Source organism: Homo sapiens, chromosome 2 (genome assembly GCF_000001405.40).
Source record: "Homo sapiens chromosome 2, GRCh38.p14 Primary Assembly".
Classification (NCBI taxonomy): domain Eukaryota; kingdom Metazoa; phylum Chordata; class Mammalia; order Primates; family Hominidae; genus Homo; species Homo sapiens.
The window spans coordinates 159635080-159647687 of NC_000002.12; the positions used below are offsets into that span (position 1 = coordinate 159635080).

Genomic DNA, 12608 nt, shown 5'->3' on the forward strand with positions numbered 1-12608 from the left:
AATTTTGTGGCAACTTTAATGTGCAGCTTTGGGTGGAGGAATGGGATTCAGCTGTTTGAGATTTTCTGGGAGGTTTGCCCTATCTACTCAGGAAAGGGAACATACCTTGTTCTCACTGAGAGATAATCCTTGGAATTTAGATCATTCCCTCAATTCAGGAGTCCTGAAGCTTCTGCTTCTGCCAAGAAATCAGTGTTAATTCTTCACTTTTCAGCTTTTAGTCATCTCTTCTCAGCAGCTGTTGCTACTTTTACAGAGTAAGAGAAAGAAAAATGTAAAAAAAAAATAAAAATAAAAAAAATAACAAAACCCAAAACAAAAACTCCATAAATCGATTCCTCTACTATTTCAGGTAAATTAATGATGAGTCTCAAGATCACAGCTTTTTCGGAGCACATGTGGTCCTGGGCGCCACACTACGCTTTAGGAAATTTTCTATTTCTTTCCTTGGCTATCATCTTTTGAAATGTATGATGAAATTCTATCCTGTTTGTTATTTCTGGTTGCTGCTGGTGAATAATTTGTTTCTTTTTTTTTTTTCTTGTCTGGTTCTGCTACTCTTCCCTTCCTCTTTTTAACATTGTTATAGTGCATATTTTTAGGTATCATAGGAGGACATTTCTGTAGCTTCTTTCTACCAGCTTTAAACAGGAGTCTTTTTTCCTAATTGAAAACATGCTTAATTGAAACCATGCAAATATCTAAAGCATTGTTTAGATAATAATGGTCCATAATGGCAAAGCTGATAATCAAGAGGTATCTTACTCTTTAAAACAAAAAGTCCCTGGGCAACATAGGGAGACCCTGTCTCTATAAAAAATTAAGAAAATAGCCAGGTGTGGTAGCACATGCCTGCAGTCTCAGATACTAGGGAGGCTGAAGTGGGAGGATTGCTTAAGCCTGGGAGGTCAAGGCAGCAGTGAACCATGTTCATGCCACTGCACTCCAGCATAGGTGACAGAACAAGACTCCATCTCAAACAAAACAAAACAAATAGAAAAAACATAACATGGATAACGGGGGGCAGAGCACGGTGGCAGAATAGAAGCCTACACTGCTCGACCCCCAAATGGAACACCAAATTTTAATTACTATCTGCACACAGAAAATCACCATCACAAAAACCAAAAGTAAGGTGAGCAATCACAGTACCTGGCTTTAACTTCATATTCCTGAAAGACGCATTGAGGAGGGCAGGAGAGATGGTCTTCAATTGCCACTGCCTCCCCGCTCCCACCTCCTGACGGTAGTTGTGTTGCATGGAGAGAAACTCTCACCACTGTGGGGAGGGAGAATGCAGCTCCTGGGAGAATTATACTGAACTCAGTGATGCCCTGTCATAGTGGAGAATAAACCTGTGCTGGACTCAACTGGCACCTATGCATGGAGGGGGCTTTTGGACTACAGCATTTGGATCAGAACTAGACAGAGGGAAATCACTCATCGCGGTGGTCAGCACTTGAGTTTCTTGACAAGCCTCACCACTGTGGGCTGAAGTGCTCTGGGGTCCCAGGTAAACTTGAAAGACAGTCTAGGACACAAGGACTGCAATTCCTAGGCAAATCCTAATGCTAGGCTGGGCTTAGAGCCACGGAACTATGGTGGCATGTGACCTAGGAAGATACTAGTTGGGGTGGCTATAGGAGTGCTTATGCCATCCCTCTCCCAATCCAGGCAATCCAGCTTGTAGCAATGAAAGTGACCTCCCTCCTTTTGCTTAAGGAGAGCTAAGAGTAATAAAGAGGACTTGGTCTTGCATATTGGAAACCAGCTCAATCACAATAGGATAGGGCACTGGGCAGAGTTGTGAGGCCCCCACTCCAGGCACTAGCTTCCAGATGACATTTCTAGACATACCCTGGGCCAAAAGGGAATCCACTACCTTCAAGGGAAGGACCTAGTCCTGGGAAGATTCATCACCTGCTGACTAAAGAGTCCTTGGGCCCTGAATAACCAGCAGCAATACCGGGGGAGTACACAGTGGGCCTCAGACTCTGAGATGTACTGGCTTCAGGTGGGACCCAGCACAATCCCAGCTATGGTGGCTATGGTGGAAGACTCCTTCTGTTTGAGAAAAGTAGAGGAAAAAGTAAAGGGGACTTTGTCTTGCACCTTAGGTACCAGCTTGTACACAGTGGGGTAGAGCAACAAGCAGGCTCTAAGGGTCCCTAAGTCCAGGCCTAGGCTCTTGGACAGAATTTCTGGACCTGCCCTGGGAGGGGCTCCAGAGGGGAGCCCACTGTCCTGAGTGTGAGTCCCAGGCCTGGCAGCATTCACCATAAGCTGATAAAAGAGTCTTTGGGCTTGAACTGAACATCAGCTGTGGCCTGGCAGAACCTGCCATGGACTGTTGGTGGTGCTGGCCACAAGAAGAAGCTCCGCTGCCTGTGGAAAGGAGAGGAAACACTGGGGAAGGCCTCTATATTGTGGTTTGAGTGCTAGCTTAGCCATAGTAAAATAAAACATCAGGTAAATTGCTAAGGCTTTTTATTTTTATTTTTTTCGAGACCCTCTGTCACCTAGGCTGGAGTGCAGTGGCACGATCACAGCTCACTGCAGCCTCAACCTCCCACACTCAAGCAATCCTCCCACCACAGCCTCTCAAGTAGCTGGGACTACAGGCGCACACCACCATGCCCGAGTAATTTTTTTTGTATTTTTCTGTAGAGACAGGGTTTCACCATGTTGACTACACTGGTCTCGAACTTGTGAGCTCAAGCAATCCATCTACCTCAGCCTCCCAAATTGTTAGGATTATATGTGTGAGCCACCACACCTGGCTGTAAATTTCTAAAGTTTTTGACTCCAATCCTTGGCTCCCAGACAGCATCTCTGGATATGCCGGGGACCTGGAGGAACTCGCCACCCTGAAGGAAAGGTCCTTGGGCAAGGCCCATTGCTGTGCTGGCTTCAGGTCTGACCCACTGCAGTAACAGTAGTGGTGGCTAGAAGGGTGCTTGCATCACCATACCCCCAGTTCCAGGTGACTCAGCACACAGAGAGAGAGAGACTCCGTTTGTCTGGAAGAAAGTAAGAAAAAAGAACAAAAGTCTCTGCGTGGTAATCAAGAGAATTCTGGCTCTTATCCATGACCACCAAGGAGATACCTTAGGCATGAGTCCACAAAAAACACAGCATTATTGGGCTTGGGGCCCAAGTCCCTTTGAATACCTAGAAAGACTTCTCAAGAACGACAGGCACAAACAAGCCCAGACGGTGGAGACTATAATAAATACCTAACTCTTCAATGTCCAGACACTGATGAACATCTATAAGCATCAGCATCATCCAGGAAAACATGACCTCACCAAATGAACTAAGTAAGACACCAGGGAACAATCCTGGAGAAAAAGAGATATATGACCTTTCAGACAAAGAATTCAGAATAGCTGTTGTGAGGAAGCTTCAAAGAATTCAAGATAACACAGATAAGTCATTCAGAATTCTATCAGGTAAGTTTAACAGAGAGATTGAAATAATTTAAAAGAATCAAGCAGAAATTCTAGAGTTGAAAATGCAATTGACATGCTGAAGAATGCATCAGAGTTTTTTAATAGCAGACTTGATTAAGCAGAAAAAAAACAGTGAGCTTGAAGACAAGCTATTTAAAAATACAAAGTCAGAGGAGACAAAAGAAAAAAAATAAAAATACAATGAGGCATGCCTACAAGATCTAGAAAATAGCGTCAAAAGGGCAAATCTAAGAGTTACTGGCCTTAAAGAGGAGGTAGAGAAAGAGACAGGGGTAGAAACTTTATTCAAAGGGATATAAAGAAATTCCCAAAGTTAAAGACATCAACATTCAAGTACAAGAAGGTTACAGAACACCAAGCAGATTTAATCCAAAGAAGATTATCTCAAGAAATTTAGTAATCAAACTCCCAAAGGTCAAGAATAAATAAAATATTCTAAAAGCAGCAAGATAAAAGAAATAAACAGCATACAACGGAGCTCCAATATGTCTGGCAGCACACTTTTCAATGGAAACTTACAGGCCAGGAGAGAGTAGCATAACATATTTAAAGTGTTGGGAAAACACACACACACACACAAAGCAACAACAACAACAACAAAAACCACTTTTACCCTAGCATTCTATATCCAGCAAAAATATTCTTCAAATCAGGAAGGACAAATAAAGATGTTCCCAGACAGACGAAAGCTGAGGGCTTTCATCAAGACCAGACCTGTCCTACAAGAAATCTTAAAGGGATTTCCTCAATCTGAAAGAAAAGGACATTCATAAGCAAGAAGAAATCATCTGAAGTTAAAAAACACTGGTAATGGTAAGCACATAAAAAAACCCAGGATAGTGTAACACTGTAATTGTGGTGTGTAAATTACTCTTAAGTAGAAAGAATAAATGATAAAACAATCAAAAATAATAACTACAAGCATTTCTAGACATAGACAGTTAGAGTGAAACAAGGAGAAACCACAAAAAGTTAAAAAGCAGGGAGATGAACTTAAAGTATATTGTTTTTATTAGTTTTCTCTCTCATATTTGTTTGTTTATGCAAGCAGTGTTAAGTCGTCATCAGTTTAAAATAGTGGGTTATAAGGTAGTATTTGCAAGTTTCACAGTACTCTCAAATCAGAAAACATACAATGGATGCACAAAAAATAAAAAGAAATTAAATCATACCACTAGAAAAAAATCAAACTAAAAGGAAGACAGGAAGGAAGGAGAGAAGGAGGAGAAGACCACAAAACAAATAAACAAACAAACCAGAAAACAAGTAGCAAAGTGGCAGGAGTTAGTCCCTACTTATCAATAATAACACTAAATGTAAATAGACTAAACTCTCCAATCAAAAGACACAGAGTAGCTGAATGGATTAAAAAAAATAAGATCCAGTGATTTGTTGCCTATAGGAAACACACTTCACCCATAAAGATACACATAGACTGAAAATAAAGGGATGGAAAAAAACATTCATTTGGTGCCAATGGAAACCAAAAAAGCAGGAATAGCTATATTGACATAGACAAAATAGATTTCAAAACAAAAACCACAAGAAGAGATACAGAAGTTCATTACATAATCAGAAACGTTCATTCAGCAAAGGATATAATAATTCTAAATACTTATATATCCAACACTGGAGCAGCCAGATATATAAAGCAAATATTATTAGAACTAAAGAGAGAGATAGATTCCAATACGATAATAGTGAATTCAAAATCCCACTTTCAGCATTGGACAGATCTCCCAGACACAAGATCAACAAAGAAACATCAGACTTAATCTGCTATACACAAAAAATGGGCCTCATAGCTATTTACAGAACATTTCATGCAACAGCTGCAGAATATACATTCTTCTTCTTGGCATATGAATCATTCTCAAGGATAGACCATAAATTAGGTCACAAAACAAATCTTAAAACATTCAAAAAAAAACCTGAAATAGTATCAAATATATTCTCTAACCACATGGAATAAAACCAGAACTCAATAACAAGAGGAATTTTGGAAACTATGCAAACACATGAAAATTAAACAATATGCTCTTGAAAGGCCAGTGTGTCAATGAAAAAGTAAGAAGGAAATTGAAAGCTTTCTTGAAACAAATAATGGAAACACAACATATCAAAACCTATGGAATACACTGAAGGCAGTAGTAAGAAGGAAATTTATGGCTGTAAGTACCTATATCAAAAAGAAGAAAAACTTCAAATAAATAACCTAATGATGCATCTTAAAGAACTGGAAAAGCTCAGCATCATAAGACAGGATGAAACATTTAAAAAAAAAACTAGAAAAGCAATAGCAAATCAAATCCAAGATTAGTAGAAGAAAAGAAATAATAAAGCTCAGAGAAGAAATAAATGAAATAGAAATGAAGAAAACAAAACAAAAAATTAGCAAAACAAAAATTGTTTTTTGAAAAAAATAAAATTGACAAACCTTTAGACAAAGAAAAAAACCAAATAAATAAAATCAGAGATGAAAAAGGAGACATTACAACTGATATTGCAGAAATTCAAAGGATCATTAGTGTCTACCAGGAGCAACTATATGCCAATACATTGGAAAATCTAGAAGAAATGATTTATAGCCACACTGTCTTCCACAATGGTTGAACTAATTTACACTACCATTAACAGTGTAAAAGCATTCCTTTTTCTCCACAACCTCACCAGCATCTGTTATTTTTTGACTTTTTAATAATAGCCAGTCTGACTGGTGTTAGTATCTCATTGCGGTTTTGAGTTGCATTTGTCTAATTATCTGTGATGTTAAGCTTTTTTCCACATGATTGTTGGGCCACATGTATGTCTTCTTTTGAAAAGTGTTTGTTCATGTCCTTTGCCCGCTTTTTAGTGGGTTTTCTTTTCTTGTAAATTTGTTTAATTTCCTTATAGACGCTGCATATTAGACCTTGTCAGATGCATAGTTGGCAAAAATGTTCTCTCATTCTGTAGGCAGTCTGTTTACTCTGTTGATAGTTGCTTTTGCTATGCAGAAGCTCTTCAGTTTAATTAAATGCCATTTGTCAATTTTTGCTTTTGTTGCAATTGCTTTTGGAGTCCGGTCATGAAATCTTAGCCTGTGCCTATCTCCTGAATAGTATTGCCTAGGTTGTTTTCCAGGGTTTTTAGTTTTGGGTTTTACATTTAATTCTTTAATCCATCTTGAGTTGATTTTTGTATATGGTGTAAGGAGGGGGTCCAGTTTCAATCTTCTGCATAATGGCTAGCCAGTTATCCCAACATTGTTCTTATTTTGAAATTATAAACATACCTTAGTTATCTCTCAAATATAATATTATTTTCATATTTTTCCTTTTTTCTCCTCTGCTCACAAGGTAAACTCAGTATCACAATGTTTGCACATTTAGGTACATATTCCCTCTAATATAGACATAAATAATTCTACCAGTGAAGCATTAATCTACTTAGAATCTTTCCTTGTATCATTCAACTCCCTTTTATCTAATTCTGAAATTTTTCTATTTTAGTTTGCATTTTCTGCTCAAGTTCTATTAAGATCAAGCTTACTCTTTAACTATAGCAGAAATTGAAAATGTGGATTTTTCTTCTACTTAATTTTCAGTGTTATATACATTGAATTTTGACGAGAATGTTTCTCTTGTTCTACAGTATGTTTTCCATAGATTGATTGTTTTCTATTTTCTTTTTCCTTTCTTTCTTTCTTTTTTTTTTTTTTTTTGAAACAAAGTCTCGCTCTGTCACCTAGGCTGGAGTGCAATAGCACCATCTTGGCTCACTGCAACCTCTGCCTCCTGGGTTCAAGTCATTCTCCTGTCTCGGCCTCCCAAGTAGCTGGGATTATAGGTGCCAGCCACCACACCTAGCTAATTTTTGTATTTTTAGTGCAGATGGGGTTTCATCACGTTAGCCAGGCTGGTCTTGAATTGCTGGCCCTCAAGTGATCCACCCGCCTCGGCCTCCCAAAGTGCTGGGATTACAGGTGTAAGCCAGCGTGCCCAGCCAAAACATTCTTAATAACTAATGGGGGAAATTATAATTGTCCTGTGACTTTTACTAATTTTTGGCAAAACATGGAAAACTTTCCTAATGTAGGAATAAATTATAGAAAAATGAAAAAAGATTACAACTAATATTTATTTTGTATGAAATAATTTAAAACATTAAAAAAGAGAATTAAAATGTTTTATCTTTGTTAAAAATCCTATCAAGAGTAGGATGAACAGTGCTTCCCTTCTTCTCCTATAAATTAACGTAGGGAATGTTCACCTTTTCTAAGCCTCGGTGAATTTCATACTCCTTTCTAAGTATGGATCACGTTCCATCATTTTATCCTTTGTGTTTTCAATATTATCGAGTATCTCATGAGTTATCTTGAAACTTTTTTGCTGTATCACTTTCCTTGGGACATCTTAATACTTCTCCTCACAATCACTTCCTTCATTTATGTTGATAACTTCACCAATACTAAGTTCCTGACTTAATATCTAGAATCTTTTGAATGACAGCAATGTCAACATTTTCATAATCAGCCATTTTTTCTATAACTCCATTTATGATAGACTTGAATATCACTAATGGCATTATCACATTTTACTTGTTTGCTTCACTTTCATCTTTGTGAGTGTATTTGTCTGCTTGGGTTGCCACAACAAAATACAATACACTGGTGGTTTAACCCACAAAATTTTTTTCTTATAGTTCTAAAAGCTGGTTAAGTCCAAGATCAAGGTCATGGTAAGATTGGTTTCATTCTGAAGCCTCTTCTCTTGGCTTATACGCAGCCACCATCTTGCTCCTTCCTAACATGGCATAGGGGGAAAGTGAACTCTCTATCATCTCTCCTTATAAAAACACTAATCCTATCAGATCAAGCCTCATTCTTACAATCTCACTTACCCTTACAGGCCCCATTTCCAAAAACAGCCACATTGAAGTTTAGGGCTTCAACATATGAACTTTCAGAGGATCTAAATATTCAGCCCAACATTCCATCCTTGGTCCCCCGTAATTCATACCCTTCTCATATGCAAAATACATGCCTTAAAAGTCTTAACTTGGCTGGTGCGGTGGCTCATGCCTGTAATCCCAGCACTTTGGGAGTCCGAGGTAGGTGAATGACCTGAGATTAGGAGTTAAAGACCAGCCAGGCCAACATGGTGAAATCCTGTCTGTACTAAAAATACAAAAAATTAGCCAGGTGTGGTGGCGGGCACCTGTAATCCCAGCTACTCAGGAGGCTGAAGCAGGAGAATCGCTTGAACCCAGGAGGCAGAGGTTGCAGTGAGTGGAGAATGTGTCATTGCACTCCAGCCTGGGCAACAAGAGTGAAACTCCATCACAAAAAAAAAAAAAAAAAAAAAAGTCTTAACTTATTCAAGCATCAACTCAAACATCTAAAGCCCAAGTCTCATTTAAATATTATCTAACCTGGGTAAAGTGGCTGTCACATGTATTACTAGCTACATGGAGGATGAGATGGGAGGATCTCTTGACCCCAGGAGGTAGACACTGCAGTTAGCTATGATTATGCCACCGCACTACAGAGCAAGACCCCATCTCTAATAAAGGATTAAATAAGTATCATCTAAATCAGATATGGGTGAGACTCAAGGTACTATTCATCTTGAGGAAAAATTCTTCTTCAGCTATGAACTTGTGAAACCAGACAAGCTATATGCTTCAAAAATACAATGGTGGGCTATGCATAGGATAGACATTCCCATTCCAAAAGGGGGAAGTAGGGAAGAAGAATATGATGGCAGGTCCCTAGCAACTCTAAAACCTAGTAAGAAAAACTTCACTAGATCTTAAGGCTGGAGATAAGTGTGTTTGGCTTGATATCCCACCTTCCAGGCCTACTGGGATGGCAATATCATGCCAACAGCTGTTTGGTCTGATCCTGCATGCACCTGTGGCTCTCTGTGAGGGCATTACCCTCTGAAACCAACTAAGAAGCTGTCTTGCCCCTTAGGCTAGTGCTGGTAGTAGCAGCACTCATGATTTCTGAATCACCTTTGGTGTTATTCTTCCCTTTCCTTGAGAATAGTGCACATTTGCAGCTGAACAGCTCTACGTTCCTGCCCAGTAGAATTCAAGAAGTCTGAAAGCCTTCCTTCATTCTGTCTTGTCTTTCTCTGTCCTCAGTTCAAACTGGCAGTGTCTTTGTTGTTATAATTGCATTTCTATTCCTAGCTTCTGCTGAGATTGACGAATACACCCAGGAGGCGCACCCACTATTTCTTTATCAAGTGGTTCTTCAGCCATACCACCCTTCGTGTTCTCTTCAGAACAAGTTTTGTGCAGTATGGACAGGCTAAGAATTTTCCCAATCTCCATCTTCTGAAAACTTTTTCCTTAATAATTCCTTTTTCATTTCTTGCCTCTCATATTTTACTATAAGTAGTAAGGAGGACCTATGCTATATTTTCAATACTTGGCTTTAAAAATCACCTCTGGGCCAGGCACAGTGGCTCACACGTGTAATCCCAGCATTTTGAGAGCCCAAGGCAGGTGGATTGCTTGAGCCCAGGAGTTCGAGACCAGCCTGGGCAACATGGTGAAAACTTGTCTCTACAAACAATAAAATTAGCCAGGCATGGTGGCATGCACCTATAGTCTCAGCTACTCGGGAGGCTGAGGTGTGAGGATCACTTGGGCCTGGGAGGTAAAGGTTGCAGTGAGCTATGATGGTGCCATTGTACTCCAGGCTGGGCGACAGAAAGAGCCCTGTCTCTAAAAAAAGTTTTTTTTTTTTTAAATCACCTCTGCTAAATACCCAATTTCATTGCTTAAAATAGTGGTCCCTAACCTTTTCGGCACCAGGGACCAGTTTCGTGGAAGACAATTTTCCCACAGATGGAGCAAGGTGGGAGGGTGCCATGGTTTCAGAATGAAACTGTTCCACCTCAGATCATCAGGCATTAGTTAGATTCTCATAAGGAGTGTGCAACCTAGATCCCTCCCATGCACTGCTCACAATAGGGTTCACATTCCTCTGAGAATCTAATGTCACTGCTGATCTGACAGGAGGTGGAGATCAGGTGGTAATGCTCACTCAACTGCTGCTTACCTCCTGCTTGTGTGGCCCAGTTCCTAATTATCGGGAAATCTGCCCCCGATAGTCACGTAGGTTCTTTTCTATTTTCTCTAAGCATCAGCCAGGTTGAAAAATAAAGGGACAGAGTACAAAAGAGAGAAATTTTAAAGCTGGGTGTCCGGGGGAGACATCACATGTCGGTAGGTTCCATGATGCCCCCTGAGCTGTAAAACCAGCAAGTTTTTATTAGGGATTTGCAAAAGGGGAGGGAGTGTACGAATAGGGTGTGGGTCACAGAGATCATGTACTTCACAAGGTAATAGAATATCACAAGGCAAATGGAGGCAGGGCAAGATCACAGGACCACAGGACCAGGGTGAATTTAAAATTGCTAATGAAGTTTCGGGCACCATTGTCATTGATAACATCTTACCAGGAGACAAGGTTTGAGAGCAACCAACGGGTCTGACCAAAATTTATTAGGTGGGAATTTCCTCATCCTAATAAGCCTGAGAGCACTATGGGAGACTGGGGCTTATTTCATCCCTACAGTTTTGACCATAGAAGACGGCCACACCCAAGGGGGCCATTTTAGAGGCCCACCCTCAGGGGCGCATTCTCTTTCTCAGGGATGTTCCTTGCTGAGAAAAAGAATTCTGTGATATTTCTCCCATTTGCTTTTGAAAGAAGAGAAATATGGCTCTGTTCCGCCTGGCTCACCGGCAGTCAGAGTTTAAGGTTATCTCTCTTGTTCCCTGAACATTGCTGTTATCCTGTTCTTTTTTCAGGGTGCCCAGATTTCATATTGTTCAAACACACATGCTCTACAATTTTTGCAGTTAATGCAATCATCACAGGGTCCTGAGGCAATATACATCCTTCTCAGCTTATGAGATGACAGGATTAAGAGATTAAAATAAAGACAGGCATAAGAAATCACAAGGGTATTAATTGGGGAAGTGATAAGTATCCATGAAATCTTCACAATTTATGTTCAGAGATTGCAGTAAAGACAGGTGTAAGAAATTATAAAAGTATTAATTTGGGGATCTAATAAATGTCCATGAAATCTTCACAATTTATGTTCTTCTGCCATGGCTTCAGCTGGTTCCTCTGTTTGGGGTCCCTGACTTCCTGCAACACTAATAGGCCATGGGCTCATACCAATCTGCAGCCAGGGGTTGGGGACCCCTGGCTTAAAAATTCTACTTACTGCAAAATACTAGAACATAATTCAAACAAGATTTTTGCCCCTTTATAACAAGGATTGCCACCTGTTCCTCTTTTACATCTGAGAGCTTACCAGAATGGCCTTTAACATACATATTTCTACCATTCTAACATTCTATTCATGATTATTTATGTGTTCTCTTAAAGATAGATGCTTTCTCTCCTGCTCTGCTGTTTTCCCTCTGAGCCCTCACCACAATCATTCATTAAACATATATATTTCTAGGATGCATATCAAAACTTCCAGCCTCTACACTTACCCAGTCCCAAAGTCATTTCCACATTTTAGGTATTTGTACAGGAGAACCCCACACCTTGGATCCAAAATCTATATTAGTCAGGATTCTCCAGAGAAACAAAACCAAAAGGATGTATGTATAAAGATATTTATTATAAGGAATTCACCCATACAATTATGTATTAGTCCCAAGACCTACAGTCAGCAAATTGGAAACCCAGGAGAGACAATAGTTTAAGTCTGAAAGCTGGCAGACTCAAGACCCAAGAAGAGCCAACGTTTCAGTTCAAGTCTGAAGGCAAGAAAAGTCCAGTCTCCCAGCTCAATAGTTAGGCAGGAGTCGTTTCCTCTTACTCACAGTAGGATCAACGTTCTTGTTCTATTCAGGACTTCAACTGATTCACATCCACATTAGGGAGAACAATCTCCTTTACTCAGTCTACTGATTCAAATGTACATTTCATATAAAAACACTCTCAGAGACACACTCAGAATAATGACTGACCAAATACCTGAGCACCCCATGGCCCAGATTAATTGATACACAAAATTAACCATCACAGTTAGCCAATTCCCTTGATTATTCATTTTGGTAAAATGTCATGTAGATTTATTACTGAGAGACAAGAAGACAACACAACTACAT

General features: G+C 39.7%; 1 protein-coding gene across 14 annotated transcripts in view; it reads right to left on the minus strand.

The window, feature by feature from the left end:
- Nucleotides 1-12608, minus strand: part of BAZ2B (bromodomain adjacent to zinc finger domain 2B) — a 397131-nt gene that overhangs the window by 319768 nt on the left and 64755 nt on the right. For 7 of the 14 annotated variants that reach the window (XM_047444046.1, XM_047444055.1, XM_047444052.1 and 4 more), the window contains one exon: nucleotides 106-244. The exons of 2 other annotated variants lie outside the window; for them this stretch is intronic. The gene's annotated coding sequence lies outside the window, so the exon portion shown is untranslated. Of the gene's footprint in view, nucleotides 1-105; nucleotides 248-12608 lie in introns of all 14 variants that reach the window. 5 more of the 14 variants (XM_047444040.1, XM_047444039.1, XM_047444042.1 and 2 more) reach the window with 2 other exon arrangements.